The 15,942-nt window shown below is 44.3% G+C and overlaps 1 protein-coding gene across 3 annotated transcripts in view; it reads left to right on the top strand.

The window, feature by feature from the left end:
- DROSHA (drosha ribonuclease III) overlaps positions 1-15,942 on the top strand; it is a 131,600-nt gene that overhangs the window by 18,624 nt on the left and 97,034 nt on the right. For all 3 annotated transcript variants that reach the window (NM_013235.5, NM_001100412.2, NM_001382508.1), the window contains 3 exons: positions 2,294-2,435; positions 4,695-4,849; positions 8,835-8,915. In NM_013235.5, the coding sequence (NP_037367.3) occupies positions 2,294-2,435; positions 4,695-4,849; positions 8,835-8,915 (378 nt within the window). The remainder of the gene's footprint in view (positions 1-2,293; positions 2,436-4,694; positions 4,850-8,834; positions 8,916-15,942) is intronic.

The following is a 15,942-nucleotide window of genomic DNA, read 5'->3' as shown; positions in this document are numbered from 1 at the left end:
TAGTTGACCCTGAAAACACCCCTGGCAAGAAGGTGGTTCTGTCCGTTAGAAATGCTGCTAGGAGTAATAACACCTGACTAAGTGGGACTTAAACAAGCTGGGTTTGTTCTTCTCATAATAAGGTACCTGGAGGGAGGCCATGGCTGGTGTTCACTGAGTGGCTCAGTGATGGCAGGCCCTGCTGTCTTCCTGAGCATCTTCCACAGTTGCAGGATGATGCAGGACTAGCAGGCCTCAGGTCCTTACACACCCGCATCCTCACACGCAGGATGCAGAGGGCATGTTGGGTGAGCATTCTTCTAGTGTCTTGCCCGAGCTCTCCTTTCATCCCTTGACTCCCCTTCCATCCCTTTACCAGAGCCATGTGACATGCCTACCCCAGGGATTCATTTTTCCTTACTGCCATGACAGAGTTCCACAAATGGCATGGCTTGAAACCGCACACATTTGTCATCTCACAGCTTGGGAGGTCAGAAGTCCAGCATGGGCCTCACTGGCTCCATCAGGATGTCAGCAGGTCTGTGCTCCTTTATGGAGGCTCTGGAGAAAATCTGTTTTCTTGCTCATTCAGGTTGCTGGCAGAGTTCAGTTGCTTGTGTCTGGAGGACAGAGGACCTTGTGTCCTTGTTGGCTGTCAGGTGTGGGCACTTCTTGGTTCCTCCAGGCCATGTGCATTCCTTGACTTGTGGATCCCTTCCTCTGTCTTCGAAGCCAGCAATGGTGGTCGAGTCCTTCTCGTGTTTTGAATATCTCTTGCCTCTTTTTCTGTTGTATCTCTGACCCCTGTTGGCAAAGGTTCCCTGATTTTAAGGATTCCTGTTCTAAGATTGGGTCCACCCAGCTGCAAATCCTTTTTGCCATGTAAGTTAACATATATATTTAATTTCTGGGGATTAGGACATGGACATCTTTGGGAGGGGCTGGTGGCTCAGCCTACCTTCCCAGAGATCAGGAGTTCTCTTCTCCAAATCTTACAGAATCCTGCTTCTATTAGGAAGAAGGGAAGAATGGCTGCCATAGGTGTTATTATTCTTAAAACAATAAAGATGAAGACACTGAAGTTCAGGGAGTTTAAACAGGCAGGGCTGGTTGTTTTTTATTACATCGTTATGAGTATATTAAAACTCCAGTGTAGGAGGAAGACTGATAAACTCAAAAGGCTGACATTTGCCTTTGAGTTTTGTCGTCTGTGTGGTGCAGAGAAGGTGGTGAGAATGTCAAAGCTATACCGGCATCGCCACTCCCAACAATGAGATGGGGCCTGAATTATCCCCTCTTCTGGGTACCAGATTTTATGATTTGCCTTAATTTTACATTTGACAGGTCTGGTTTTTACATTTTAAGGCTACTAAGTCAGAGTGTGGAGATGTAAAGTGATTTTCAACCTGGAAATTGAGTGAGGAAAAGTGGAAAATTTTCTCTAGGAATCTGTTGCAGAGTCCCGTGTTTGTGGTATGTGTTTGTGTGTGTGTGAGAGAGAGTGTGTGCATGTTTATGTCCTCGTGTTTAAGGCATGAGAGTGTGTGTGTGTGTGTGTGCGTGTGTGTGAGAGAGAGAGAGAGGGGATATATAGGATATTTCTTATTGCTCGATGGATTGATATAGGAGAAGATAGGTTATCAGTGATTTTCAGTAGGAAGTGTACATTCCCTATGAGGGTATTTGATGTCAGTTGTCATGATTCTCTGAGGGTCATGATTTTTTAAAAAATGTCATATTAATAGGGCATAGATGAACTGTTCTAATGTTTCTTTTCTGTTTTTTTTTTTTTAGATGAGGTCTCTCTATGTCACCCAGGCTAGAGTATAGTGGCACAGTCATAGTCATAGCTCACTGCATCCTCCAACTCTTGGGCTCAAACAGTTCTCCTGCCTTAGCCTCCCAGGTAGCACAGGCACACACCACCTGGCTAATTTTTTTCTTTTTCATAGAGGTGGGGTCTTGCTATGTTGCCCAGGCTGGTCTTGAACTCCTGGCCTCGAGCAATCCTCCTGCCTCTGCCTCCCAAAGTTGCTAGGATTACAGGCGTGAGCCAGCACGCCTGGCCTGTTCTAATGTTTCTGAATGTTGGCAAGGCACATTTACCTGAAGACTGTGTCAGCGATAAGTGTGTGTTTGATTCAGAGTATGATTGCCAGTACTTGAGCATTTTGTTTTTAAATGTTTGTTAAATTTAGGGTTGAAAAATAGCATCTTGCTGTTAAAAATGCTTTGATTACCTGTGAGATCTTACATATCTTTGATATGATCGTTATTGATATAGTTCCTAATATTGATCCTTTATTTTTAAAAGGGAGATTCTACAGTGGTTGGAACGAGTAGGCTTCGTGACTTATATGACAAATTTGAGGAGGAGTTGGGGAGCAGGCAAGAAAAGGCCAAAGCTGCTCGGCCTCCGTGGGAACCTCCAAAGACGAAGCTCGATGAAGATTTAGGTGAGTCAGAGTCACTAACTAGCCTGAGACCCTTGCGATTATAGCTTCATTCCTAAATTTTGGGGAAATACCCTTGAGAGTCCCACATTGAGATTTCTTCTTTTTCATTTTATTTTTCTTAATTACAGTCAGTAAGATACATAGCAGTAGAACTTCCTTCTTTTTGATCGTATTTTTCCTTAGTTCATTTGGCAGAATACAGCAGCGATCTCATTTGCAAGGCATGCTAACAAGGGTGCCCCTTGGAGAGTTGTCCAGTCAGAAGAGTTCAGCATCTTTCCGAGAGCAGGAGCCCATGCCCCCTGCCTCTCATGAGGACAGGTGTCCTTCCTTGGCCCTCTCCTTTGCCAGGTGCGCCTGGTTTGATGAGGGAAACAGCGACTGTACCCCAGCTCTGTTTGAAGGTTTCTCTCCACTTGTGTAGACAGTTTGCATAGCTTTTTCATAAGGTGGTCTATTTTTTCATGTGTATGTTCTGAGGTTCCAAGTAGGTTGTGAGATCTTTGAGAATGGAAATTGCTTTTTATCACTTTGTATCCTTAGCCCCTAACAGAATGCCATGCACAGATGAGACATTCAGTGTGCATTTAGCTACATGTTCTCTCTAGCTCTTATCTGCCCACCTCCATTACATCCCACACGCTGAGAGGCAGTTATCCATACTGGGCAAAGACACCTGAGTTGGGAGTTGGATGGCTTGGGTTTGAATCCCTGCTCTACCACCTACTTGATATGTGACCTTGGGCCACAGGTTAATCTCCTTAGATTTTTCCCATTTGTAAAATAGGGATGACAGTAGACAGTAGCATCTATCTCATGCAGTACATGTAAATACAACTCCATGTTGGATTTCATTATGCTACTACTATGTTAATCTCTTATAGGATTAATTTATTTTAAAAATTAATTATTTTTCTTTTTGTGGAGATGGAATCTCACTATGTAGGATTAATCTAACTTCTAGGTCTGTTTTTTTTTTTTTTCAAATTGTGGTAAAATATAAGTAATACAAAATTTACCATCTTAACTATTTTTAAGCGTACAGTTCAATAGGGTTCAACATGACCTTGTTTGCAACCAGTCTCCAGAACTGTTTTCCTTTTATAAAACTGAAACTCTGGACCTGTTAAGGAATAACTCCCCAGACCCCAGTTCCCCCGTTCCCTTATTACTACTATGCTACTTTCTTCCTCTATGAATTTGACTCTCAGGCATCTCATATATGTGGAATCATGTAGTATTTGTCTTTTTGTGACTGGCATATTTCAGTTAGCATAAGTCTGTGTCTGTTTTTATTCAGTCACTTTAAGGACTAACACCTTCTCTTGCTGTTATTGAGGGAAAAGAAATGTCAAGTCTTTGGTCTTGCATTCCCAGCCTTCGCTGTGGCATTCCCAGCACTCCCAGCCCCTAACCTCCCAGTGTTTTTCCGTGTGGCCCGCGCTCTAGCTAGTCCACTGTGTTCTTAGCTCCACGCTTTTGCCTACGATGCTCCCTCTTCATTCCTTTCTTCTTTTCTCCTCCTTATCATGCTTCTCCCATCCTGTTGCAGTGCCTGGGTCACATGTGCTCCTTCTTTGAAATTATCACCAGCCTTTCTGGATCCCAGTGAAACTGCCCTTTTATGGATCATTACATAGCTTAAGTGTTAAACTACGTACTACTACTATGGTTTTTCATTTTATCTGACATTGCTCATCAAGTCTTACTTTCTCTCTAAAGATCTTTATTTTCTTTGCTTCCCCAACTAGATTGTGACTTAGCATTATGGGCTATATTTTTTTTTTATGGTGTTGCTTAGTAGAGTATTTGGTGTAGAGTAGGCCTTTAAGTATTTTCTAGAAGAATAAAGAACTCTTCTTACCTTTAGAGGTTTAGGTCATTTGGAAGCCTCCACAAAAACCAGTTTGTCAGCCGGGTGCGGTGGCTCATGCCTATAATCCCAGCACTTTAGGAGGCCGAGACGGGTGTTTCACCTGAGGTCAGGAGTTCGAGACCAGCCTGGTCAACATGGCAAAATCCTGTCTCTACTAAAAACACAAAAAATAGCTGGGTGTGGTGGCAGGCGCCTGTAATCCCAGCTACTCGGGAGGCTAAGGCAGGAGAATCACTTGAACTCGGGAGGTGGAGTTTGCAGTGAGCTGAGATCGCGCACTGCACTCCAGCCTGGGTGACAGAGCGAGACTCCAACTCAGGGAAAAAAAAAAACCAGTTTGTTAATTCCATCAATTTCTGTATTTTTCTCCCAACCCCTGTTAGAGAGTTCCAGTGAATCCGAGTGTGAGTCTGATGAGGACAGCACCTGTTCTAGCAGCTCAGACTCTGAAGTTTTTGACGTTATTGCAGAAATCAAACGCAAAAAGGCCCACCCTGACCGACTTCATGATGAACTTTGGTACAACGATCCAGGCCAGGTGCGTGTTTTTATGCCCTTGCTGTGAAGGTTGCAAACCCAGACATAACGGTTATTGCTCTGGGCTCAGAAGATACATGTTGCCTAGTATTGAAACTGAATTTTACTGTCAGGGTTTTGTCCTTCAGAGCTATTTCTTTTCAGCTTCAGGTTAGTTCCAAAGCATAAGCACCAGAGCAGCTGTCCCTTGAATCATTTTTGATGATGTTTGTAAATTCCATGTTGGGGAGAGGAGTAATGGCCCTGCCTCATTAAATTGCAGTAGATGGAAGGAGACACATGGTAGGATGAGGAGAGAGAACTTGGAGGTCTTTTTAGAAGTAGTTCACCTGGAAGGTATCTTGCTGCAAAATAGTAAATAAGTCCTATAAGATTTCTTTTTTTTAGTTGGTAACAGTCACAAGTTCTCTTCCTTGTTAAGCATGTTTGAGCTAAAAACATAATAGGTGGACATAATTATTTTTATTTTTAATTACTGTCTTAATATGAAGTAATACATAATAAAATTAGCATTGTTAAAAAAGATTTGTGTCACACAGATATATAATACATACAAAAATTATATCTTTAATGCATGTAAAGTTAGGAAGCTAAGGCATATCTGTAAAAAGATAATTTAAAATTTATATTTTGTGAGTAAATTTATAACATTCTATATTAATTAAAATGCTTTTCTCCTGGTTCTTGTTAGATGACAGCTATCCATCTTTTTTTTATAGAACGTCTGGCAGAAATGTATTTTGTGTGTTCCTTTTACTCTTTGGAATTGAGCAGAAATGTTTGCAGAACTGCCAATGCATTTTAAAACTTGGTTTTCTTTTTAAACAGCTTTGTTGAGTTATAATTTACATATGATACAATTGTACTTCAAATTTATAATCCAGCATTTTTTAGTATATTCATGGGGTTGCACAACTATCCCTACAATTGAATTTTAGAACATTTTTTGTCCCCCGTAAAATAAACTTCCTCCATATATGGGTTTTTTTGTTTTTTTGTTTTTTTTGAGACCTGGTCTCACACTGTTGCCCCGGCTGGAGTGCACTGGCGCAATAACGGCTCACTGGAACCTTGACTTCCCAGGCCAAACCTGCTTCAGCCTCCCAAGTATCTAGGACTATAGGGGCGTCCCACTATGCCTGGCTAGTTTTTTTTTTTTTTTTGAGACAGAGTTTCGCTCTTATTGCCTAGGCTTGAGTGCAATGGCGATCTTGGCTCACTGCAACCTCTGCCTCCTGGGTTCAAGTGATTCTCCTGCCTCAGCCTCCTGAGTAGCTGGGAGTATAGGCATGCGCCTCCACGCCTGGCCAATTTTGTATTTTTAGTAGAGATAGGGTTTCTCCATGTTGATCAGGCTGGTCTCGAACTCCCGACCTCAGGTGATCCACCTGGCTCAGCCTTCCAAAGTGCTGGGATTACAGGTGTGAGCCACTGCGCCTGGCCTGCCTAGGTAGTTTTAAAAAATTATTTGTAGAGATGAGGTCTCGCTATGTTGCCCAGGCTGGTCTCAAACTCCTAGGCTCAAGCAGTCCTCCTGCCTCAGCCTCCCAAAGTGTTGGGATTACGGGCATGAGCCACTGCGCCTGGCCCTCTAGTCTTTTTACTTGACTGTTGTTTCCTGTTTCGCAAGAAGCCTCTACACTGATTTCCGTGGATACCTGTTTCTATCAGAAATTCAACAGTGCTTTGTAAACAGTCTTTCTAATGCTGTTTAGTGTTATTGGTTTTGTGTCCTCTGTATAGTTGAGCCTTGTGAAGGGCTGAATATGTAGGATCCCAGACCTTGGTAAAAGGCAAGCATGTAGGATGTCTCTGCTTCCCTGGAGATCCGTGAACACTAAGTTAATTTTTTATATTTTTCATCACAACAAGTCATGACTGGCATTAAGAGTGTGTTATAACTTTTTTTTTGTCTTTTTTTTTTTTGAGACGGAGTCTCAAAAAAACTCCTGCTCTGTTGCCCAGGCTGGAGTTGGAGTGCAGTGGTGTAATCTCAGCTCACTGCAACTTCCACCTCCCAGGTTCAAGCGATTCTCCTGCCTTAGCCTCCCCAGTGGCTGTGACTACAGGCTTGCACCACCACGCCCAGCTAATTTTTGTATTTTTAGTAGAGATGAGGTTTCACCCTGTTGGCTAGGCTGTTCTCGAACTCCTGACCTCAAGTGATCTGCCTGCCTCGGCCTCCCAAAGTGCTGGGATTACAGGCATGAGCTATTGCACCTGGCCTTAGGAGTGTGTTATAAGTTTTTTTTTTTTTTTGAGACGGGGTCTCACTCTGTCGCCCAGGCTGGAGTGCCGTGGTACAATCTCAGCTCGCTGCAAGCTCTGCATATCTGGTTCAAGCAATTCTCCCTGCCTCAGCCTCATGAGTAGCTGGGATTACAGGCGCCCACCACCATGCCCAGTTAATTTTTGTATTTTTTAGTAGAGATGGGGTTTTGCCATGTTGGCCAGGCTGGTCTTGAACTCTTGACCTCAGGTGATCCGTCCGCCTCAGCATCCCAAAGTGCTGGGATTACAGGCGTGTGCCACTGCGCACAGCTGTGTTACAACTTTTGATGAAATCCTGTTACGTCTCTTATTTGCCAGCTGTTACTTTAGATAATATCTTAACATAATATTTCTTTTTGGTAGCGATATTATTCCTCTGCTGTACCACCTGGATCTTTAGATTTCCCAAGAGGCTAAAGAAAGGTATAGCTTTTTACTTTAATACTTTTTTTTTCAAAAAGTCTTATTGACTTTTATATTTTAATTGGACATAATGAGTTATAAATCTCCATAACTTTAAAGAAATATGTGTGTGTATATATGTATACGTATATTTTTTCTTTTAAGGCTAGTCAAGTGAAGAAGCAGTGGGAGTGGAGAAGAAACGAAGAAATCTGTAACTGGCTGTGATCAATTACTTGTAAAATCCATTACACTCTGACCAGCCTATATTTTTAAATTATTACAAAAAAAGGGAAATGGAAATTCATTTTCCCTATCTGAGCTCTGGTCTTGTTTTTGATTCAGTATTACCATCTATACCAGAGGAACTCATGAACCTGGCTTGTGAGGCCCTTCAGATTTTGATCTTAGTTCTGCTTCTTTTGGTCTTTTCCCCCACATAAATGGTCCATTTTATTTAGACGGGTCTTGTGGCCCAGAGCATGATGTGGACCTTCTGCCTTCTCTCCTTTTCTCATGCATGCTGGTGCCTCTTGTGGAGCAGCCATTTTGTTTTCTTGTCCATCTCATCTGTTTGACGCCCCAGCATTACCTACTTTTAAGTGATTTTTTTTTCTTTTAAATTATGAAGCACATCATATATATGTTGTTCTCCTGTCTAGAACAGATATTCATTGAGCACACGGACCCGGTGCTCTTTATCATCCCCGTGCTTAGCACTCATCCGTTCCAGAGGTTTTGAAGAATTGCTTGCCTATGGAGCCTTGTGGGCGGAGTTCGTGGCACTAAAACAAATTCAGAGAAAGAGATGTAATCTAACCTGAGCAGTGTGGGAAGTTCTTCTGGCTTTAGTAGCATTTTCTTCTCTCTGCTAGTGAGGTACCTTACAGTTTCTCTTTTTGAAACATTGAATCCGCAGGTCACCTTCAAAACACTCTATGTGTTCCTCCAGGATATAAAATTTGCTTTTGTGAAAGAGTCATTTTTCTTGAGATAAGAAATAGGGAAACAAAAGTGTCCTGGGAATTGGTAGAAGAAGATGGGGGCAAACAGTGTGCTGACATTGATATTTTCTGCTTGGCTGCACAAATAACTCAGGAATGTGGTGTTGTCACACGGTTTCCCTTTATCAGACAATATAGACAGTTTGCAGCTTTATTGGTTTTGGAACATCCGTTTAATCTTCTAACCGTGACAGCCTCTCAGAGCTTCAGCGCTCATGACATTAAAACCCACGCATTTTCGGAGGCATCACCGTGCATGGTGTGGATTTTTCCCTCCAATAAAAACGAATTACATTGTGTTTCTGACAGATGAATGATGGACCACTCTGCAAATGCAGCGCAAAGGCAAGACGCACAGGAATTAGGCACAGCATTTATCCTGGAGAAGAGGTAACTGGTTTGGGTTATTATGTTTGTAAATGCTGAGAAGCCAGAAGTAGACAGATGTTGTTGCTGTTCTTTCCCCCATAAATGAAATAATACCATCAAAATTCTCTTCATATTCCCTAATAGTCTCTTACTGATAATTGCAGAGGAAAGCACTTGGGTTTTGGGAGCGCAGTGGGGAATGTTCTCAAGGAAACTTTAACAAAAGTTTTAGTCGTTTTATTATTTAAAATAGGCATGGTGTGTTTGATATGGTTTCCCATTTCAAGTATTCTTCAGCTGCACATATTATAGTTTTATGTTTCATCATAAGTGGCTATGAATGGCCCTGGAGCGACGCTCTTAGTAAAGTGCTTTGAAGTGCATGTCTTCTCTCTCTGTTAGTCTGTCCTTTCCACCAAACTGAATATATATTGACTATTTTACCTGCGTCTCTGCCCTTGGTTTATCAGGGACCCTCTAATAAGTTTAACTGAATAGGTAGAACACTTTTACATTGCAGAGTCATATATAACTATCCCTTTCAATTATTGTCCCTCATTTGTTCCCTTTATCTTTTATTTTTATAAGCTATTTTTATTAATCCCAAGCTCCTCACTTTATAATTCAGTGCATTGTATTTAAACATAGTATATGTAAAACCTTAATTTCTATTTAAAACTTGTTTGAGGGCTCAACAATAATGGGAATAAAGACTATGAGATGGTGCCTGATAATTTGAAATACTTGCATCACTTCTGCTCATTTGTCTTTGAAAGTTGGCAAGTGTAGCGAGGAATTGTGGGACAAGGTGGCATCTTGTGAGCGTTTGTGCACATGCCTCAGGTTGGGAGCTCTGAGATGTTGACGAGGGATCAACACCTGTGACAGGAAAAGAGCAGAGGTGGGAACTATTCACCTGTGATGTGGGTCTGATCAGGCCTGGCTTGTCAGAATTTTTGTGTGTTGTGCTGGAATGGCTGTCATAACCCCATCTCTCTCAGTCCCCAGAGCAAAGTACCCCAGGAAGGGCACAACCTTGGGAGAGGGGGCTCTGCAGCTGAGGTTGACCCTGAAGGAGCCAATAGCTACAGGCTGTGTGCTGACTACACAGTGCACATTTGGACAGCAGGCCCTTCCTTGAAGGGAGACTAGATGGGCAGTGGTGCCAGCTAGGGACCTGTAGGCAGGAAAGGCAGGTGACAGTTTGGTCTCCTGGAGGAATGGTCCCATTTTGGGGGCTCAGCATGAGTCATTGTATCTGGCTAGTTGGATGTTTGGCAGTGGAAGTTAGCTTAATTATATAGCTTAGCCTTGATAAGCGGGATCCATGCTGTTGGGCTCATGTGAAGCCTCCTCTCTGCTACTGTGGTCACTTCATTCATGTGCCCCTCCTGTTGCTCTGGGGTGGCTAAGGACAGAGGGTGGCTGACACCAACTGCCCCAGTCATTTTGTCTGCTTGGTACCCTGGTACCTCTTCCATGGTGGCTGCTGTCTGATGGACCTCCATGTGTGAGATAGAGCTCGTCATGCTCCCTTCCATTTGTGCACCTTCAAGTCTCTACCCCAAGACCTTCTCATCCATCATCTTCCAATCTTTTTTCTTCTAGGCCCCTGACCAGCAAGCATGGTCACTTGCTTCTGACCAGGAGTCCATCTATATTCTAACTTCAGGCCACTTCTCTTTCCACACAAAGTGGATGACCAGGTACACTGCCTGAAACTCCACCCGCTGGGAGAGATTTCCCCACAGCGCTATCTCTCAGAGCCATCCCAGAGTGAGGCTGTAGTGCCATCTGTTTTCGGTTCAGCCACTCTTGCCAACTGACCCATTTGTAAACCAAGCTTGGGCTTTTTCCTCTGCTTTCATCCATACATCCTTAGTCATCAGCTGAGGGAGGGGAGCTGGTGCAACAGTGGTGGAGCTGTGGGGATCCGGGCCATCTGCCCAGGCAGCTTGTTTGTGCTCTTGGCTCCTGGGTATGCTTGACTCTGGCAGTACCACTCCTGCCTTATGATGGATTGTTGCTGATGCTGTATTGCCTGGTGGGATTGACAGAATTTAGCCTATGATGGGTGGTTCTGGCCACATGTGTATCTGGTATCTCTTGGCCAGGCCTTACATATCTATCAGGGCCCAGTAGCACATCTGGAGTATTTTTTCAAAGGCACATAATTCTTCACTATAGATGGCAGGTCTTGCTTCAGAACGTCAGGGACCAGCATTGTGATTCTCCCAATGTGGCCTGCAACAGATTCCTTTTGGCAACTTTTCCCACCAACATTATAGGATCTGCCGAAACATATGGCCCCAGCAGCAGGGCTGCTTGTACTCTAGCCTGGAACAGCTGAGGCCATTTCTCACATGGGCTGTCCTCAGTGCGGGCAGCTGTTGATGCTGTTTGTGCCACTGTGTAAGCAGGTTGGAACAATGTTTCTAAATGTGCATTCTTTTGCCTCCTGAGCCTGAAAAGGCCCACTTAGGTGTTGTGCTTTCTTCATTGTAGGAGGTGGAAGATGCAATAATTGTCTTTTACTTTGGAGGGGATGTCTTGGCATTCCCCAGACCACTGGACTCCTAAAAATTGTGTGGCTGCGGCAGGCCCCTGAATCTTTGTAGGGTTTATCTCACATCCACTGCGGTGCATGCATTTTACCAAGGTCTCTAGCCTGATCATCGTAATGTCAGAGGTGTAATGGAGCAGTGTGAGGTTCTACAGCATGCCCCGACCGTCGGGAGCTCTTTGGTATTATGAGTGGGTGGGAGCACTGGGGCAAAACTATAACTATAAATGTCTGTGAACCATTCTGATCCTCATTTCTGATTGGGATAGAAAATAACCCATTCACCAAATCAGTTGCCATGTACTTTATATCTGCTCTAGCTAAACTACAACACCTGGCCCGGCAGCTACAATCAGAGTTCCTGCTTGGTTAAGTTTGTGGTAGTTTGCAGTCATCCTTCAGGTCTTCAGGGGCCAGACAGGTGAATTAATTGGAGATAGGACCGGTACCATCTCCCCTATATCCTTCAGATCCTTAAGGGTGGCACTTACCTCTTCCATCCCCACAGTGCAATATTGGTTTTGATGCCTGGGTTGACGGGGGTGGTGGTAATTTCGTTTCTGCTTGGCTTTCCCATTAGGATAGCTCTTATTCCACATGTCAAGGACCCAGTGTTGAGTAGCACGTTGGGTCTGCCAAGAATGTCAATTCTAGTGTACATTCAAGGACCAGGGGAAGGACCACTGGGTAGATCTGTGATTCAGTAGACCCACTGTAAGTCAGACCTTGACCAAGATCCATTTATTACCTTGGCCTCATATTCTCTACTCTAACTGGGGCACCACAGTGATGTATCCAGTCTCCAAGTATCAATGATGATTCAGATACTGCATCTAACATGGCTTGAACTGTCTGCTATTCCTCTTTTCCCAGTGTACAGCTCCCCAGGTAAATGGCCATAAGCCCCTTTGGGGAATGACAGGGCTGTTATTTTGTTACAGGATCCTTCCTCCTGGGATCTGGCCACCTCTTCAGTCGGTGGATTTCAGTCCAAAAAACATGATCACGTCTGGAACTGGGCAAGGAATAGTGTGACTATTTATTGGAATCACCTGCCTTCAGTGTCTTGGTTATCCATTCTTGGTTTCTTATGTTCGTACAAACTAAGTAGTACTCTTACTGGTTACCCACTTATTTTGTACCGAAGGACACCATGTTCTATTAACTATTTCCATGACTCTTTGTGGGTCAGACCCCTTTGGCTGCTACTTTGGCCTGGCTTCCAGCACTTAGTCCTATCACCTGGCATCTCTTGTTTCAGGATTCTGTCATCCCTATTACTGCTGGTGAGCTCTGCTCTCTGACCACTTTTGTAGTCAGCCCTGGCCTGCAGAGGAGGCTACCACTGATCTTCCTGATGATGTTTGTGCTCCTGTCACCTGCACATTTGTTTTGGTGTGTCCTCTGGGGCTTCCCATGCAACATGATTATTTGGCATATTTTCCAGCTGTAGATACTTTATCCATTCTAACTTCCTTGAGTCCTTGAATTCCTTCCTCCACTGTCTACCACGGCAATTCCGGTATTTCAGCTTTGCTCAGCGTGGGCCGTTGCTTCTTCATGCTTTTAGGAGCCATGCTGGTAGGGAGTTCTCAACATACCCTGGTGGTGTTGTATCCTGAGTGCCCCAGGTCAATCTACTCTTCCCTAAACAATTTTATGTTCTGGCCCTGTTGATCAAAGCTCTCATCATCAGGTCCTCTGCAGACTTCTCTGGCTGTTGCCACATGCTAGTTAGTTCCTGCAATTCTTTTGAAATATAATCTGTTTCCTTCCAGCACCTCCCCAGTTGGGGCCCTGAAATGACCCCAATTATAGGTATTGGCCAGGAGGGGAGACTGGTTGAGGGGTGTGTGAAGGGGGATAGTGTTGCCTTGCAGGTTCTTCCATTGTCTTCTGGTACAAGTGAGTGGTTGCTCTTAATTGGGAGGGATGTGCCATCTCTGCAGTCAGATGATTTAGAGGAATCTGGGGAGTCAAAACATAAATGTCCCCATTTCAGGTTTCCTGGGCCCTGACTGTGGCTAATTTTCTTTGAGGCTTGGCCCCTCTCACAGGTAAGCCTTAGGCTTGGTCCTGCCTTGCTGTGACCTCCCACTGTAGGTAGTGAGAGTTTCTTCTGGCTTTCACATCTGGTTTCTAATAGTCTTTTCTCCTCCTCTGCTGTTATACTTCTGTAGTGTAGTGGTTCTCTAAGTGAAGGCTCCCAACTGAGACTCATAAAGCTTCACCTGGGAACTTGTTAGAAAGGCAGATTCTTACCCCATCCCAGCCACTGAATCAGAAACTGGGAGTGGGGAACAAGCAGTCTGAGATTTAACCAGCCCTCCAGGTGATTTCTGGGCAGACTAAGGTTTGGGGACTATGGTAGAGCATCACTGGTGCTTAGCGACAGCCATCCATCCCTGAAGGATCATAGCCATTGTTCTTATAGCTATCATTTTCTCCACAGTCTTAAACACCTGGGTGTTTGGCTTGCTTCCGGTGTACAGCTTCTAATTCACCATCTTTAAAGTTTAGTTGCCCTGCCATCTGGTGCCAGGGGCTGTCTGTGTTCCACTTACCACCAGTGATGGCATCTTCATTGCTTGTTGAGAGGCGATTGAGCTCCAAAACACCATCTTATTTGCTGTTTTATTGGGTCACTCCTAGTACCAACAGCCTCATCTTGGGTTCTCTAGAAGCAGATGCTAAGATGGAGTTTTGGGTGCATGATGTTTATTAGGAATCAACACCTGTGAAAGGAAGAGGGTGGAAGCAGGATTGGACAGAAGGATTGGCTGAACTGTGAGTGAGGCCCACCAAAGCTGCATTCAGCCTGGGGGTGATCTGTGGAATGCATATTGCCCGTTTGAGTTGGGCTGAAATGGCTGGGCCTTTATACCTCTGCCTTGCTCAGTACCTGATGTGGACCGTGCCTGAGGTCAGAGGATGGAGATCTGCAGTGGAGAGAGATCCTGAAGGAGCTTATAGCTGGAAGCTCCTTGCTGTCTGTGCCCTCCACAGCCAGGCAGCAAGTCCCTCCTTGAACGTGGGTCTGCGTGGCACAGCCCCATGTCTATCACAGGTGCACCCAATGATGCCATCACAACTGATGCTGTCACAGCACACTTCTTGTGCTGGCTTTGTTTGCCTTTTCTCGTCTTTTTTTTTTTTGATACAGAGTTTTGTCTTGTTGCCCGGGCTGGAGTGAAATGGTGTGATTTCGGCTCACCGCAATCTCCACCTCCCGGGTTCAAGTGATTCTCCTGCCTCAGCCTCCCAAGTAGCTGGGATTGCAGGCGTGCATCACCACGCCTGGCTAATTTTGTATTTTTAGTAGAGATGGGGTTTCTCCATGTTGGTCAGGCTGGTCTTGAACTCCCGACCTCAGGCGATCTGCCCACCTTGGCCTCCCAAAGTGCTGGGATTACAGGCATGAGCCACCGTGCCTGGCCAGCCTTTTCCCGTCTTAAGATCCATGCATATACTGTTCCACCACCTCTCATGCTTTCTTCATTTCTGACCTTTTCGATTTTTACTCAGCATATTTATTCCTTCTAGCTTTTTAAATTTCCTATTAACACTCACTGCTGTTAGTTCTCAGATTAATTTCCCCACTTTTTTTTTCAGTTTATTCATAAGTATAACCAAAGGTCAGTTATTGTGTTATTTTACAAGTAAAAGGAAGATGGTCATAGGATTCTAGATCTAGAAAGATCCTTAAATCTTGTAGTCTGAACCCCCTCTGGAGTATACTGTAAGTGGCATATTGTGGCTGTAAGATTAAGGGTAGCCATAACTTCATTCAGGTGTCTCACAGGGCTGATACTCCATGTCAGCAGTGTTGTCCGTGTCAGCCTGTGTCAGCAGTCTACAACCTAGCCTGGAGATTTCCAGGAGACAAGGCCACCTAGGCACAGATGCAGCTTTCATAAGTCTTAAAACAAAGTTTCCCCTTACAAGAATAGTTTAAACTCCTTTTAGAAAAGAGACACCTGGTAACTGACCTGGACTGAATACAGGTATAAGCAAAGGAGAAGGATCCTCCAAACTTGAGAATGGTCTCTGGATGAAGACCCTCCTGGTGACTTGGTCATCTAAGTCCCTGGCTATATCTGGCCTGCGTCTGCTGTTCGTCTTGTAAGAGAATAAGCAGAATAAACTGCTTGAGCATCAGTTGGTGACTAAGACTTATCTTTGAGGAGAATCAGATGGAAAGGGAGAAGTCCCTCCTGAAAGAGCTGGTTAATTAGGTCCACTCAAAACACCCCAGCCACCAACACGACAGCTGGGGATGGTGATGGGATTTGCATAAGCAGGTGAGTAATGGCACTCATTTCTATGAGAGAATCATGAGAGAGTGAATGGGAGCTATCTCTGATCCAGCTACTGGGTGAGCCCTATGGACTGTTCCACAGTGGGACTGGCAGTTTTTATTCTGCTTTCTGGCCAATTGCTACCTTCTGTGTGCACTTTGTACCTCTGTTATGGAAATTGCCACCA

This window comes from Homo sapiens, chromosome 5 (genome assembly GCF_000001405.40).
Source record: "Homo sapiens chromosome 5, GRCh38.p14 Primary Assembly".
In the NCBI taxonomy this organism is placed as follows: Eukaryota; Metazoa; Chordata; class Mammalia; order Primates; family Hominidae; genus Homo; species Homo sapiens.
This window is presented reverse-complemented; position numbering and strand designations above follow the sequence as displayed.